Below are 16,690 nucleotides of genomic sequence, written 5' to 3'. Positions count from 1 at the left end.
ACCAAAACGAACAAACATGGAACAAACATGCTGCTAAACCAGTCTGAGAGCCACTGCAGGCCAGGCAGAGTGGGGAGTCTATCCTTCCTCCTGCAGGACTTGTGATCCTTGACTCCAAAAAATGAGGGTGAAAAGGCACAAAAACTCTCCTCCCTCACTTTATTCTCAGAGCCAAAAATTGGCTGCAGACATTCTGTGTGTTTTTGTATCCACACCACACATGATGTTGGCACCATGGGTGTATGTCTTAAGAATGTTTTCCAAACAGCCACCATCTGGATCCAAATATGAGGCTTTACTCTCTCAAAACTTTTTCCAAGAATATGAGAAGGAAAGATGACAATTACCTGCCCTGTCATTTCCTAGAAAAAGCTCTGTTTTTAAACTGAACCAAAGAAAAACCACAAACTTTTGCACCACAGCCAATATCTAAATGTGTTTGGTTTCTGAGTGTCTCAAATTTCTTAAGTTAAAATCCATTAATATACAAATCCACCCTCCACCCTCCTCACACGCAGGCACACAAACCACACTGAGCTACTCACCGGACAATCTGTCAGTGGGTCCCTCATGTTGAAATGTGTCTGGCTTTTGTCCTTTCACCTACGCTCCAGCATTCTGGACACTGTAATCAAGGTTGGGTGTGTCCTGGACTTCCGGGATTCAAAGGGCCTAGAGTACGTCAGTCCTTGTCAAACATTCCAAGGAGGAAGTCCCAGCCCTGGACTTTCATCCCGTTTGTGTCCCGAGAAAGTAAAGAACTGCTCTGGGTCAAGACGGCCAGTGTGAGATAGTGAGAATGACTTCTGTAAACCCTCAGAGGGCAGGATCCTGAGTCCTGAACAGCGTAACATTGAGAGAAGGCAGAGAAGCTGTAACATGTCTCCAACAATTCTTGCGCTTGGTCTGACAGTGCAGGAACACATATCCTCTCAGCCTGCAGTATTAATCATGCTTTTTATTTTCTGTATTGTATGATGCTTTGACCTTTGGGGACCTCATGGACTTGGAGACAGACTGCCTCTCTGAGGGTTAGCTAATTCCTAGAGAGAGCAAACAACTGGCCTGTGAGCACTCCTTTAATATGCAAACCAACAAATCCAGAGCCCAAACCTCCCCACCATCTCTGTTACCCAGTTCTCAAATACCAAGCCCATATTCCCCCACCCCCTAAATCCCACAGGGCCAGACACCAAACAACTAGGAACCTACACCTATAGAACTATAACTATAGAATGTTCAGAAACAGCTATCAGGAGCAAAGCGTACATTAACCACTTCTCTGAGCCTAACTCCACACTCGCTCCAGCCCCAACAGGATCAAGAGGCTAAGCTTTCAATGTAAAGAAAAAATTGCCTAGATCTGGCCTCATTTTTCATCACTCAAAAGGATAGACAGAACAAGAACTCAACCACAGCTTGAGTTCTATTGCATTCCCTGTACCTGTGGTCCCAGTTGCCAATCATTAGATTTCCAATGAATGGCCTATTGATGTACGACAGCCATTTGCTAGACTGTGGACAGTTCTGTTTGACTGGCAGGCAAGGGCAGGCCCCAGTTTGAAAGGAGCTCCATCAACACAGTCCAGTGGAACACTTCAGAGTTTAAAAGCATTCAGTTTTCACCTGACTGGCTGACTCAGCCTCCATTCACCTGCCCCTGGTGTGCAGGCTCCATTCAAAGTCCCTAGAAATAAGCCAGTTGCAGTGGCTCATGCATGTAATCCAAGCACTTTGGGAGGCCGAGCCTAGAGGGTCACTTGAGGCCAGGAGTTTGAGAGCAGCCTGGGCAATATAGCAGGAGATTCCTATCTCTATAATTTTTTTTTTTTAATTAGGATGTGGTGGTATGTGCCTGTAGTCCCAGCTACTCAAGAGGTTGAGGCAGAAGGATTTCTTGGGTCTAGGGGTTCAAAGCTGGGCAATAGAGTGAGACTCTACTTCTAAAAAAAAAAAAAAAAAGCTTCCAGAAACAACGTAGAAGAGTCAGGGGACAATTAAGGAAAAGAACTTGCCTTGCAACAAGAGTGGAGAGGAGGGGTCTTTTCCACACACTTAATGCCCTCCCTCTTTGCTTATCCAAAGAACTTGATCACTGGAGGTTACAACAATCTTGGGTAGCTACCACAGGGCTAGAATTAGACAAAGCAACTCTGTATAATAAAAGAAATTTAGGTAAGGCACAGTGGCACACACCTGTAATCTTAGCACTTTGGGAGGCTGAGATGGGAAGACTGCTTGAGGCCAGGAGTTCGAGACCAGCCTGGTCAACATAGCAACACCCCATCTCTTTTTTTGTTTTTTTTTTAAAAGAAATTTAGAGACAGGATATAGACTGAGGTTAATAACATGTAACTCAAATTCCCACTTGAGGGGGCTTCTCTGCCCTCAGAGATTTTAGATAAACTTGTCCGGAGCCACCATTCCAGGACTTGGGACAGCTCAATGTTTTCTCTGTGATTCCTGCCCCATTTTTCTTGCTGTTCTGTGTTTCATTTCAGTCCCAACTGAGTCCAAACTGAGGAAATTGGCCTCCCTTGCCAGTTTCCATAAGAAGTGCTGTCACACAAAGCCTACTGTGATCTTTGTATACGAATTATAGATTGGTAGGGCACTCCTATCCCCAAACTCCTCATGTGTGCCATTCCCAGTGGGCTGACTAGCTTTCCCTCAGACCTCCTGGACATCTGCTGAATTAAAATCCTTCCATCTTGCTCCTGTCTGCCACTGGGCCGTTGTAAGGGCAGCAGGGCATCCCAGCTGAATCCAGACTGAGAATTAGAACTTGGCTATTTGTTGAGCTTCTCGGAGGAATGTTTGAATGTGCAAAAAGCCTTGATTTTGGAGGTCAGAAATAGGTTGGTATCGTTTATCCTTTGTCACAATAATGCTGTGTAACAAACAGAAACCCAGTGGCTTCAAATGACAGAGACTTTATTTGGTTCACAAATCTGTAGTTTAGCTGGATGGATCTTCAGGTGTCCCCTGACCTCACTCATGTAAAAGCAGGTCATCTACACAGGGCTTGGCAGAGCCATGCATCTGGGCTTTTCTGGGCAGGGGGCTGGCTGGGAGCTAGCTGTTGGCTGAGGCCGTATTTCATCAGCTGGTAGTCTAACCAGGCTCTTCTCAGGGTATGGCAGAGGAGCCACAAGAGTGAGTGGAAGAGCTCGAGGCCTCTGGAGGTACAGCTTAATATGGACATCCCATCATTTCAGCCACATCCAGCTGATCAAAGCCAGTCATGGGCCAGCCCAGATTAAAGGGGTGAGGAGAGCTTCCACTTCATAATAGGAGGAACTTAGTGTCCCATTGCAAAGGGCATAGAGACAGAGAGGGGCAGACAATTGGAGTTAGTTTTCCATTCAATTTACTACAATGGCTGCTTAATATTTGTTCTTGAATGACTAGAGATAAAGCAGCAAGGACAAGGAGCAGGTGGCTGGTATATGTCTTTCTTTCCCTCTCCCCAATCCAGCCTGGGGTGACACGTTTTGAACCTCAGCAGACTGGCGTTAGGAAGAGAAATAAGAGGACCTAAATCATAAAAGACTCTAGACGGATAAGGGCTGTTCTCTCCTCTGACCCCACATTCCACCCTACACATACTCTGCTAAGGAGCACAGCAAAAAGCACCTCTCCTGGATATGGGTTGTGAGGAGGCAGCAGCAGGGAGAACCTGCTAAGTTGTCTTCAGCCACTGAGGCTCAGGTAGGTGAGGCATCTTGATGAGAAGGATAGAGCAGACCACAGTGAGCACATTTGTCCCCGAGCATGTGAGAATTCCTCCAGTCCCCAAAAATGGCCCAAGGGGACTTTGGGAGGAGGAGACTGAGTTCCCATGTGAGTAAGAGGAGCAAAGAATCTTGTAGTTTTGGAATTAATATTAACAACCTCATTTGTACCTACAGGTTGATGAGAATGTGAACCTAAAGGAAAGAACAACTGAGGCCAACTTAATATAAGTAGAGCATTTACTTGGGCCAAGCTTGAGGGCTGCAACCCAAGAGCATAGTTTCAAGTGGCCCTGAGTATACGCTCTGGTTAGCAGCAGGTACAAGTAGGTTTTCAAAGGAAAAGAAGAGGAAGAGGAAGCTCCTGAGTTGTTTGCCAAGAATTTCCATGAAAATAACACAAGCTGTTGATTGGCTCTACACTGTTCTGTGAATCACAAATTCCAGGACCATAAAGATAGCAGATGAGGCAGCTAGTCAGGAACAAGATGCCTTTACATGATTGCTTCTAGGTGTGGGTTCAAGGAGGCAGAGCAAGACTTGAGCCCCATACTCCCCTCTCTGGGCCTGATAAATTTTGCATACCTCATATAGCTCAGACTGCTCTAAGCCATTTTTCTTCTCTCAAGAACTATCTTCTGTCTGTCTGTCTGTCTGTCTATCTATCTATCGATCGATCGATCGATCGAAGCATCTCCTCCAAGAAGGTATGCCATTCACACTTTCTGAAAATTTTAATGCACAAAGAGTCCTTTTGAGTTCTCTGTTCTCAGATTCGTCTCTGGTCCTACATTTCTGACCCGCACTCATACTCTGGCTGCTTTCCAGCCTGGCTTCCGGTTAGATTTACTGTCTGACCTCTCCTATCCTAATCTTCCTGCTTTCTTTCTCAGTCTCTGCTCAGCATGTGCCTTCCTGGTATGGCCTCTCTGCAGAAAGAAAACCTGCAACGGATTCCCTTCCAGGGTCTGGCCTGGAAGCTGCTCTGCTGGACTCCAACTTTGACATTTTGTGCTGCCTCTAAGGGGAGTTAACAACATGAGTACGCATTTATGAAGTATTCACAAACAAATATTGGGTGTTGGTAAGCTAGTAAGAAAAAGGAGCCCAAATGTAATAGAAGCTCATGGCAATTCAAAACTTGCCTTGGAAGTTTCTTTAGTAGCCAAAGCGTGCAAAGAATTGGCAACAGCATGAACATCATCAATTGAGACCTAGTTAAATACTTTATGGTAATATGAGCCCACATTTAAAGGACATACCACGTGTCAGGCACCATTCTAAGTGTTTTACAAATACAATTGGCTCTCCATATCCCTGGGTTCTGCATCTGTAGATTGAAAATAATAATTTTAAAAATAACAATAAAAATACAAATAAGTATTTATGACTATTTATATAACGTTTACATAGCATTAGGTATTATGAGTTACCTAGAGATGATTTAAAGTACATGGGAGGATGTGTGTAGGTTATATGCAAATATGACACTATTTTATATAAGGGACTTGAATATCTTTGGATTTTGATATGAGGGGGTATCCTGAAACCAATGCCCCATGGATACTGCGGGATGACTTATTAACTTATTTAATCATCACAGTTATCATTTGAGGTAGATATGTATTATTTTGATCCTTATAATACCCACAGGGCAACAGAGGCACAAGGTAGAGACAGGGTCTCACCATGTTGCCCAAGCTTGTCTCAAACTCCTGAACTCCAGCGATTCATCTGTCTTGGCCTCCCAAAGTGCTGGGATTACAGAAGTGAACCACCACACCAAGCAACATTAAAAAAAAAAAAAATTTAAGGTTAACACTTATGCTAACTTTAATTTTAAAAAAAGAACTGACAGTTGAGATGATGACATGTTATTTTTGTATCTCTAGGATTTTGCTTATGCTGTCCCTTCCAGTGGGAAGTCCTTATAGCTTTATGTTGGCCCAGCTGACTTTTACTTATTTCCAAAGTCTAGCTTGTGTTGCTTTCCCCAGAGAGAGTGAACTCTTGCCTTTGTACTACTGCTATCCATTGCACACACCTCTTTTACTTTGTTTATCTTATTGTGTTGAAAGTATTAGTTTAGGCTGGGTGTGGCAGCTCATGCCTGTTATCTCAATACTTTGGGAGGCTGTAGCAGAAGGGTTGCTTGAGCCCAGGAGTTCAAGACCAGCCTGGGCAACATGGTAAAACCCCATCTCTACCAAAAATAAAAAATAAAAAAACTAGTCAGGCATGGTGGTACGTACCTGTAGTCCCAGCTATTCAGGAGGCTGAGGTGGGAGGATCACCTGAGCTTGGGGAAATCGAGGCTGCAATAAGCCGTGTTCATGCCACCACACTCCATCCAGCCTGGGTGACAGAGAGAGACCTTGTCTCCAAAAAAAAAAAAAAAAAAAAAAGAAAAAAGAAAAAGAAAGAAAGAAAAGAAAAGTATGAGTTCAATGGTCTGCCTCCCACAGTACTCAGTGAGCTCCTCATAGCCAAGTATCTGGAGCAAAGTAAGTGTTCAATAAATAATTGCTTTCATTTGATTGAATTAAATACTGAGAGAGTGACTTCATTCGCAAGTTTCTCTTTTTTGGCAAGGCAGGGGATATTGTTTACGGGTAGGCCCATATCCTCAGCTATCAGGAAGCAGAGTTCAAAACACTGAGACAGAAGATAAGTGTGACCTTCTGGGCAGGAACTCTAAAATGGGAAATGGCTCCAATGCACTTGGGAGGCTCTGACACTGATTAAAATGGCCTTGACAAGCAGGAAACGAAGTAGGATTCCGCAAGAATCCCAAGGGGCCACTTAGAGAACTTTCTTGGAGGTTTGTTGGTTAAAAGATATAAACAGATGAGGTAAGGAGAGTCTTGGGACTGAGAATAAAATCGAAGAGTGCCCTAATGTTAAGAATAAGTTTGGGAGAGCTGGAGTCTAGAATGAGCAGAGTTCTGACAAGTTTGCCAAGAACATCTAAGAGAATTTTTGCTATATTCACAGCAAGATGACCGTAAAGGGACAGCCCCTGGGCTTGGGGCAGCTGGCCCGCTGGTATTGAAGACCAAGTGAGCAGGAGTACTTAGCCAAGCTGCTGGGGTCCAGCGGTTAAGGGGTCAGGTGGGAGCAGCTAGCTGTCAGCAGGCCACATCTTCAAGAGCACTTTCTTCCTAGGACTAGCTATGACATGGGTGACACGTCTTGACACACCTTAACATGTCTTCCGAAGGCCAACTCCCGGTTCTGAGTCCTGGACGACGCCTAGTCCTTGGCCTGTTTGAGCTGACAGGAGCAGCAGCGTTCCCTGTTGTCACTGCATGCACATGAGTGCCATGGCAGTGTTTACCATACATGACATCACTTCCACCAATCACCCTCAGATGGAAGTGTAGAAGCAATCTCATTCTGATTAAGTTACTCTTATTTTCAGTCTGGGATCATTGCAGTGATTAGTTTTCTTAATTTCCATATCTCTCCAAAGCTGAAAGATACATTTCTGAAGCCTTGCCTTAATGCACATATTTTAAAAAAAATTTTTTAAGGGTTTCGGCCTTTGCCCACAGCCTCAGGATGGAAGAAAAAAAACTATCCAACTTAGAAGCACTTATGAGTACTTTAAACTGTGGCAGAAGCAGTGGGGACAAACACTAATGCTGTTATTGTTAATAGCCAGCCTAATTTGTAGCATCTAAGGTAACTTTTATGCTGTTTGTACTAATTACTTTGTGGTTGTAAAAATTGCACAAAATAAGCTTTTTGCCTCATAACACTTCATTGAAATTACTTAATTTTTAAATCTGAGCCCAAATGGTCATAATTAACTTATTATATACATGCAAAACTGTCTTATAGTCAGTGTAATAGGGTTTAATTTTTATTATGCATGTCCAAATTTCATATAATTTTAAAACTCCAGGTGTTAATGGAGAAAGAAGAGGAAACCAAATAGATTAGTTTGCATAAAACAAGTTAGTATAAATTTACTTTCCCACAATAAGCCCTAGGAAATGAAGACTAATGGACAACTAATTAACAGTCAAGTCATCCTATAGCTGTGATCTATGGCTTTAACTTCCAAAGGAAAGCATGAGAACAAGGACATTTTACAAATGCAGATTTGTTCAAATTACATTATATCTTCATTTAATCACCTGTGTTAATATTTATGTGCCATTACTTCCATTAAGCTCATCTGCAATCAGTCTTACAAATCTCAATTTAAATGTACACTAGAATGTCTAGTATAGAGTCGTTTTAGTCTCCAGGGCACATTATGAGTTGGGCATTTCTGCATATGTAAATAAAGTGCCAACAGTGGGATTTATTCATCTTTTCCACCTTGGTCCCCTCTACACTTTATAAGTAATGGATTTATAGTTATTTCCTATAAATCATTGCCAGGTTATGGAGATGGAGTCTTAGAGAAGAAACAAAAGCATGCCAAATGGTTATTTATTGTGATTTTTTCCTGTGACAGCAACTGAGAGGCTGGTGGATGGGTGTGGGAAGTGATAGAGCTTTACTCTTTACTGGATTTCCTTTTGCACTTTTGAAATTTTATATGCTGTGCCTGCAATACCTGTTAAAAAGTATTTACTAAGAGCCAGGTGCAGTGGCACACCTGCAATCCCAGCTACTCAGGAGGCTGAGGCAGGAGGATCCCTTGAGCCCAGGAGTTTGAGACCTGCCTAGGCAACATGGTAAGATCCCATATGAATTTTTTAAAAAGTATATGTTAATTTTTTTAAGCCATTTTACACCCCTGAGACTGAGGGCACCCTGTCCACTCGAACTTAGGTTCAGTCAAACAGCCCTCTGAGTACTTGTTAAAAATCATCCGCTGGGCTGGGCGTGGTAGCTCACGCCTGTAAGCCTAGCACTTTGGGAGGCCGAGGCAGGTGGATCACAAGGTCAGGAGATCAAGACCATCCTGGCTAACACAGTGAAACCCCGTCTCTAGTAAAAACACAAAAAATTAGCCAGGCGCGGTGGCGGGCACCTGTAGTCCCAGCTACTCAGGAGGCTGAGGCAGGAGAATGGTGCGAACCTGGGAGGCGGAGCTTGCAGTGAGCTGAGATCGTGCCACTGCACTCCAGCCTGGGCAACAGAGCGAGACTCCATCTCAAAAAAAAAAAAAAAATCATCCCTTTTGTCTTCTTACTCAAATTCTTTAATCTGTAAGTCAGCTCCTCTCACAACTCTTCTGAAATGGTTCTACTGAAAAACACGAGTTCTTTCATTTTGCCTCTCTGTAGCATTTTACACAATTGATAATTCATTCATGTGTATTCATCCATTCACTCATTCATTCCGGGATGTCTTATGAAGCACCATCTTTGTTCCAGGCATTAACGAGAGATCCAAGGAGGAACAAGTGCCAATCCCTTCTTTCAAGGACAGCAGTTTGATGAAGGAAGGTTATATTACTCTATGACAGATTATGAAGATTATGATAGATATGATAGACAGATTATGAAGATATGATATAGAAGAGGTCTTTACAGAAATGTAATGGGAATTACAAAGAGGTATCCAACTCAGCCTAGTTGGGAATGAAGGGAAACACAGAAAATGCTGGTAAGAGATAGTCACACTTGCTGACACTTGATATGCATGTATCAGCTGTGTTTACGTAACAGAAACTATTCTGTTGTATCCAGAAAATTATAAATCTCTCAAGAATGCTTTGAGCACACAGTTTGCATGGGACCTTATAGTTCATGAGGCTTGGAAGATACTCAGAGGCCAGATAATGGGATGACTCCAGTGCCATGTTTTAACTTTAACCAAAAGGTAAATAGAGTCACAAAAGGGTCTTTTTTCTCTCCACATAGGAACTTACGCATATTTGTGATATTTAGATTTTGTTTTGTTTTCTTTTTTGAGACAGGGTCTCACTCTGTCACTCAGGCTGGAGTGCAGTGACACGATCTTGGCTCACTGCAACCTCTGCCTCCCAAACTCAAGCAATCTTCCCGCCTCAGCCTTCCAAGCAGTTAGAGCTAAAGGTGTGTGCCACCGGGCCCAGCTAATTTATTTTTTATTTTTTGTAGAGATGAGGTTTCACCATATTGCCCAGGCTGGTTTCAAAGCTCCTGGGCTCAAGCAATCCACCCACCTCAGCCTTCCAAAGTGCTGGGATTACAGGTGTGAGCCATGGCGCCTGGCCAATATTTAGATTTTAGTTTTAGACTCTTCATTCTGATGGTAGTGTAGAAACTCTAAAGAGAACTGAGATAAGGATTAGGAAGAGTGGGGAGGCTGTTGCCAGGAACCAGGAGAAAAATGGTGAGGCCTTAACTAACCCAGGTGGCAGTGGTAGAGTTTTAAAATGGAACCAGCAAGACTGGGTGATGGACTGGATTAAGGATAAGTAATGAGGGAGTGGGAGGAATCTAGAACGAAGCCCAAGTTTCTGGTATCTTCCTCAAAATTCCATTCTCTATGGCTTCCATGGGAGGGACTAAAGAACAGGAGTTAATGATATAGGCTTTGGAGTGTTGAAAAGTCAAAAGTTGGCCACACTACAAATTAGTATGCTAACTTTGGGAGAAATTTCTTAGCCCCTTTGAGTTTCAGTTTCCTGTTATGTAAATGGAAGTAATACCATATATTTCACAGCAGAGTATACATAACGACTGTTTAATAAACATTTACTATTATTACTGTTATTGGGATCACTTTATTTTTTGCAGAATAAAGATATTAAAGATAATTTTATGGCCAGGTATGCTGGCTATAATCCCAGCACTTTCGGAGGCCGAGGCAGGTGGATCACCTGAGGTCAGGAGTTCAGACTAGCCTGAGCAACATGGCGAAAACTGTGTCTCTACTAAAAATACAAAAAACAAAACAAAACAAACAAACAAACAAAAAATTAGCTGAGTGTGGTGTTAAGCACCTGTAGTCCCAGCTACTCAGGAGCCTGAGGCAGAAGAATTACTTGAATCCGGGAGACAGAGGTTGCAGTGAGTCAAGATCGCACCACTGCACTCCAGCCTGGGTGACAGAGCGGGACTCCATCTCAAAAAATAAAATAAAATAAAGATAATTTTATATTATACATACAAAACACTAAAAAATAAAACTATTCTAATTCAAAAACTTACAAAACTCACATGACTACACCAAACAATTTAGAATTCTCAAGAAGTTTTATTTAATGCATTTTTTTCTTTCACTAAATTTTTCCTTTGATAATTTGAGTCACTTGTAACACTTTATGACTCTTGAAAGTCATAGATGGCATCCTCATTTTAAAAGAATAAACATTTTGCATCTAGAGATCTGAAAATTTTACTTAGGACATTAAGATTTTGAAAACAAATATATTTACAAAAATTAATTCAAGATGGATTAAAGACTTACATGTTAGACCTAAAACCATAAAAACCCTAGAAGAAAACCTAGGCAATACCATTCAGGACATAGGCATGGGCAAGGACTTCATGTCTAAAACACCAAAAGCAATGGCAACAAAAGCCAAAATTGACAAATGGGATCTAATTAAACTCAAGAGCTTCTGCACAGCAAAAGAAACTACCATCAGAGTGAACAGGCAACCTACACAATGGGAGAAAATTTTTGCCACCTACTCATCTGACGAAGGGCTAATATCCAGAATCTATAATGAACTCAAACAAATTTACAAGAAAAGAACAACCCCATCAAAAAGTGGGTGAAGGATATGAACAGACACTTGTCAAAAGAAGACATTTATGCAGCCAAAAAACACATGAAAAAAACCGTCACTGGCCATCAGAGAAATGCAAATCAAAACCACAATGAGATACCATCTCACACCAGTTAGAATGGTGATCATTAAAAAGTCAGGAAACAACAGGTGCTGGAGAGGATGTGGAGAAATAGGAACACTTTTACACTGTTGGTGGGACTGTAAACTAGTTCAACCATTGTGGAAGACAGTGTGGCAATTCCTCAGGGATCTAGAACTAGAAATACTATTTGACCCAGCCATGCCATTACTGGGTATATACCCAAAGGATTATAAATCATGCTGCTATAAACACAAAGCACACGTATGTTTATTGTGGCACTATTCACAATAGCAAAGACTTGGAACCAACCCAAATGTCCAACAATGATAGACTGGATTAAGAAAATGTGGCACATATACACCATGGAATACTATGCAGCCATAAAAAGGGATGAGTTCATGTCCTTTATAGGGACATGGATGAAACTGGAAACCATCATTCTCAGCAAACTATTGCAAGGACAAAAAACCAAACACCGCATGTTCTCACTCACAGGTGGGAATTGAACAATGAGAACACATGGACAGAGGAAGGGGAACATCACACACTGGGGACTGTTGTGGGGTGGGGAAAGCAGGGAGGGATAGCATTAGGAGATATACCTAATGTTAAATGATGAGTTAATGGGTGCAGCACACCAACATGGCACATGTATACATAGGTAACAAACCTGCACATTGTGACATGTACCCTAAAACTTAAAGTGTAATAATAATAAAATTTAAAAAAAGAAAACAAATATATTGATTAAAAATACTCTCAAAGTTACAAACAAATTGCAAGTTCGTTACAAGGATTTTTTTCCTTCTGTCCTGAATAAGTTGCCAATCTAATGCTCCTTCACCTTCTAATATTTTAGTGTGCATTTCCTTCAAACAAGGATGTTCTCCAACAAAACCAAAATACAACCATCAAAAGCAGGAAATTGAAATGGATTCATCACTACTATCTAACCCTGAGTTCCACCAATTGTCCTGCCTAAGTTCCCCATAGCAACAGGATCCAGTTCAGTATTGTGCCTGGCATTCAGTCACTATGTTTCTTTAGTTTCCACTCTGGAACAGTTCTTAGCTCCTCCTTGGCTTTCCTGCCATTGACAGACTTGAAGATGACCAGTTAATTATTTTATGTAACGTCCTTCAATTTGGACTTATCTGATGTTTGCTCATGATCAGATTCAGGTTTCGTATCTTTGGCAGGAAAATCACAGAAGTGATGCTGTGATCTTTATTGCATTCATTCACGTGACTCATTTCATTTGCCCCATTACTGATGGTGTTCACCTGATTAGGATGGTGTCTGCCAGGCTGCTTCGCTGTAGAGTCACTACTTTAACCTTTGAAGTTAGTAAATATTTTGTGGTGACGTACACCTTGAAACTAGGCAAACACCTTTCTCCTCATCACATTTTCAGTTTATTATATATTAATTTTATCATATGAACTCATAGTTTCCCATTTTATTCAATGCATTATAATTTATTACTAGTATTATCTTTATGGCAAAGTTGCCATAGCATGTTATTATTGCTACAAAAGACAATCAATCATATTTTCCATGAAATATACTCACTGAATGATGGTTCAACACACGAGGCAAAGAGCGATGTCTTTGGAGAAAGCACTTAAAGTAGAACATTAGCAAATTTTACTGCTTGACTAAAACAAGAATGAGCTAACTCGATCTGGCTGGGGGCCTGTTAGGACTGTTCCTTCTCACTGTGGCCTGACTAAAAACCAGCGGCATTAAGAAAGCATCATATTTCCCACGGCCTGTGGGTGCCCCAGTGAGGTGGTTCTGCTCTCATAAGCTCTTTTATGAGACCAGTTTTTCCAAGTACTGGTTCAGAAAATACGCTCAGAGCTGGCAGAATGGTTCAGAAAGCTTCTTGAAGGCCCTTTGTTTCTCGGTCTGACTTTCAGTTTGTACCAGCTACTTTAAGCAGTTTCAGCTTCCCAAGGTTACTAGCAACTTCTACTTTTCCTAATATATTTGATTTTCCATGGCATTGGTTGTGATAGTAGTAGCCTCCCAATTAACCGCACCTCCACTTCATACCCTCTTTTTGAATCTGGGCTGGGCTCATGACTTGTTTAATCAATAGGAGGCACACTCCAGCTGATACGGTTTGGATCTCTGTCCCCACCCAAATCTCACCTTGAATTGTAACAATCTCCACATGTTGTGGGAGGGACCCAGTGGGAGTTAATTGAGTTATTGGGGCAGGTGCTTCTTGTGCTGTTCTCATGACAGTGAATAAGTCTCATGAGATCTGATGGTTTTATAAAGGGGAGTTCCCCTATACAAGCCCTCTTGCCTGCAGCCACGTAAGATATGCCTTTTGCCTTCGGCCATGGTTATGAGGTCTCCCCATCCATGTGGAACTGTGAGCCTATTAAACCTCTTTCCTTTATACATTACCCAGTCTCAGGTATGTCTTCATTAGCAGCGTGAGAACAAACTAATACACCAGCTTATTAATTTTAAGGCACAAAATATCCTAGATTTTAGTTGGTTCTATGTCCTCATAACATTTTCCCATCATTCTTTAAGTACTACTTTGCTTTCTGGCCCAAAAAGATGTTCCACACCCAGCCTTTGCTTTCCCTGCCCACCTCTTGGTTCAGCTACTTCTTCAAGGAGCCCTGGTTCCTTTAGTGGAGAATGGGTTTAGGATGGATTTAGAAACCAAGACCTGGGGTGCTAGGTGTGCTCAGGAGGAGCTACTGAGGAGGCATTGACTCTAGGCTCTGAGGTGGACAGTTATGAAATATCTATCATCTATCTATCTATCTATCTATCTATCTATCTATCTATCTATCTTTTTATCTGTGTGTGTGTATACGCACACATACTCACAGGTAAATGCATATACACACTTAACATCTGTGTTCATTTTGATATCTACTTATTAAAAACCATACATGGATACTTACAATTTTAATCCAATACTACTAAGTTCATTCGGTTTTCTCTTCCTCCATATTTACACCTCCCTTTTCCAGCAGTGAGAAACTGGCTCCCCTTATTGTTAATATATTTACGCCTTTGATCAATCCTCCCCTATGTAACCCATCTCCCACTGCTTCCACTCTGACTTTCCATGCTCTGGCTTCTCATGCCAGGCTGCCCCTCTGCAGGGATGGCCTCATCACCCTGCTTGGGCTTTGATTCTTCATGCTTCCTCCTCCAACTCCTCACTCCCACCTTGTGTGGATTCCTCTTCACCCCCACCTTGGGCTACGATTCTGCCAGCTGCACTGTCCTCCTGGGCAGACATCTCCATGCCCAATTTGGCTCCCATCATTCCACTCCGGGCCACAGTGATTCCCTCACCTAGCAGAGATATCTGCTCTGCTCTGTCCTATTTGAGGTTTAGGGACTGAACAGTTCAGGAAGAGAAGGGAAAGGAATGGAAAAAGAAAAAGGAAGAAGAAAAAGTCATCAATATCATCATCTTTTTTTTTTTTTTTTTGAGGTAGGATCTTACTCTGTCACTCTGGCTGGAGTGCAAGTGGCACCATCATAGCTCACTGCAGCCTTGAACTCCTGGGCTCAAGCATTTCTCCTGCCTTGGCCTCCCAATGTGCTTGAATTACAGGTATAAACCACCAAGCCTGGCTGTCATCGTTACTATTTACATCATTTTTTTTTTCTTATCACTTACCTTTCTTATCACTATTTTCTTTGCTGATTTATCTTCTTCTTCTCATCCCCCAAACATGGGTATTTCTCAAGGTTCTGCTTTGGCAGGCAGTGCAGAACAGATCAAAGCTTGGACTAAGTTCTTTGCATCACCACTTTCTGGCTGTAAGACCAAGGACAAAGTTTTTACCCTCTTGTGCTTCAGTTTATCTGAAAAAAATTAAAAAAAATGAAAATCACAACAGCCTCCAGTTTCAGTCTTCTACTTCCAATTTTTGTTAGACATGTCCACATGAAAGGACTCTCATCAGCTTAAATTCAAAATGTAAAAATCAACCCATTTTTCCTTTCCAAAAACTGAGGCATCTTCTCACAGCTCCTCTTTCTGTAAATGCATATTCATTCTACAGGAATTTATTGGGCACCTGCTGTGTAGTGGACACTGTGGCTGATAAGGATCAGCTATAAAAGGTAAGGCCTTTGCCCTCAAGATGCTTCCATTGAGTCCAGTGGGGAAGGCCGTGTGATAAGTGTTCTGATGGAGTTAAATGGTTGTACCTTTTCTTCTCAAGGAAGAGCACCAAATTCCCAAAGGCTAAGGCTTTCTGGGAAGACTAACTTCTAACACAAATTAGTCTTCAAGGCCAAGTAAGAGTTAGCGACATGAAGAAGAAGAGGAAAGAGGTCTCTGTGGCAGTGTAAGCAGTATGGCCAGAGTCCTGGAGCTGTCACAGGCATGGCACATTCTGAGACAGTGCCCATGGGGAGGGATGAGGATGGAGTGGAAGGTCAAGGTCAGGCCACTAAGGGGGAGAACAGGTGGTAGGAAGTGGGGTGGAGGCTGCCTCACTGCTTCACGCTATGCCCTTTGTCTCAAATGCCTTTCCTCTTTCCACTTGACTCATTCAAATACTATTCATTCTTCCTAGCTTTCTGCTTGAAACCTTTTCTTACCTGATCCCAGAAGCAGCTGTTACGAGCAGCGAATCCTTATGGGTCCGCAGCGAACTCAATTCTTAGCTCCTTAGAAGAAAGAATTTGGGGCCGGGTGTGGTGGCTCACGCCTGTAATCCCAGAACTTTGGAAGGTTGAGGCAGGTGGATCACTTGAGGTCAGGCATTCGAGACCAGCCTGAACAACATGGTGAAACCCCGTCTCTACTAAAAATACAAAAAATTAGCCAGGTGTGATGGCGGGCGCCTGTAGTCCCAGCTACTCTGGAGGAGGGGGGAGGCAGGGAAGAATTTGACCGAGGAAAAATAAGGCAGACTGAGAGACTGAGGCAAGTTTTAGAGCAAGAGTGAAAGTTTACTAAAAGGTTTTAGGGCAGGAACGAAAGGAAGTAAAGTACACTTCGAGGAGGGCCAAGCTGGCCACTTGAGGGATCAAGTGGCTGGCTTGACCTTTGCCTTAGGGTTTTATATATTGGCATACCTCTGGGATCTTGCATCCCTTTTCTCCTGATTCTTCCCTTCTGGTGGGCTGTCTGCATGCCCAGTGCCCTACCAGTGCTTGGGAAGGGCTGCATGCGCAGTGTGTTTA

The 16,690-nt window shown here is 42.4% G+C and overlaps 1 protein-coding gene across 11 annotated transcripts in view, besides 2 other annotated features; it reads right to left on the bottom strand.

The window, feature by feature from the left end:
• The window catches only part of NOSTRIN (nitric oxide synthase trafficking), a 78,976-nt gene extending 62,296 nt beyond the window's left edge, over window positions 1–16,680 (bottom strand). For 10 of the 11 annotated variants that reach the window (XR_007069110.1, XR_922836.2, NM_001039724.4 and 7 more), the window contains exon 1: window positions 546–582. Coding sequence is in view for 8 of the 11 variants with exons in the window: in NM_001039724.4 (NP_001034813.2) it covers window positions 546–572 (27 nt within the window). In the remaining 3 variants the exon portion in view is untranslated. Of the gene's footprint in view, window positions 1–545; window positions 839–2,015; window positions 2,154–4,996; window positions 5,065–15,170; window positions 15,359–16,582 lie in introns of those variants that run through there. The other variant, NM_001171631.2, reaches the window with a different exon arrangement.
• Window positions 639–1,138: an enhancer, noted in NCBI's record as "H3K4me1 hESC enhancer chr2:169658591-169659090 (GRCh37/hg19 assembly coordinates)". NCBI's record gives its function as "activates a minimal SCP1, AML or CMV promoter by ChIP-STARR-seq in naive H9 embryonic stem cells {active_cell/tissue: H9 hESC(naive)}" and the evidence as "EXISTENCE:reporter gene assay evidence [ECO:0000049][PMID:30033119]".
• Window positions 4,466–4,760: an enhancer, noted in NCBI's record as "tiled region #4310; HepG2 Activating non-DNase unmatched - State 22:ReprW, and K562 Activating DNase matched - State 5:Enh". NCBI's record gives its function as "activates a minimal TATA promoter and a strong SV40 promoter by Sharpr-MPRA in HepG2 and K562 cells {active_cell/tissue: HepG2 | K562}" and the evidence as "EXISTENCE:reporter gene assay evidence [ECO:0000049][PMID:27701403]".
• Window positions 16,681–16,690: the final 10 nt, after the last annotated feature.

The sequence above is a fragment of the Homo sapiens genome, chromosome 2 (genome assembly GCF_000001405.40).
Source record: "Homo sapiens chromosome 2, GRCh38.p14 Primary Assembly".
In the NCBI taxonomy this organism is placed as follows: domain Eukaryota; kingdom Metazoa; phylum Chordata; class Mammalia; order Primates; family Hominidae; genus Homo; species Homo sapiens.
Note: the sequence above shows the minus strand (reverse complement) of the source record. Positions and strands in the feature narration are given on the sequence as shown.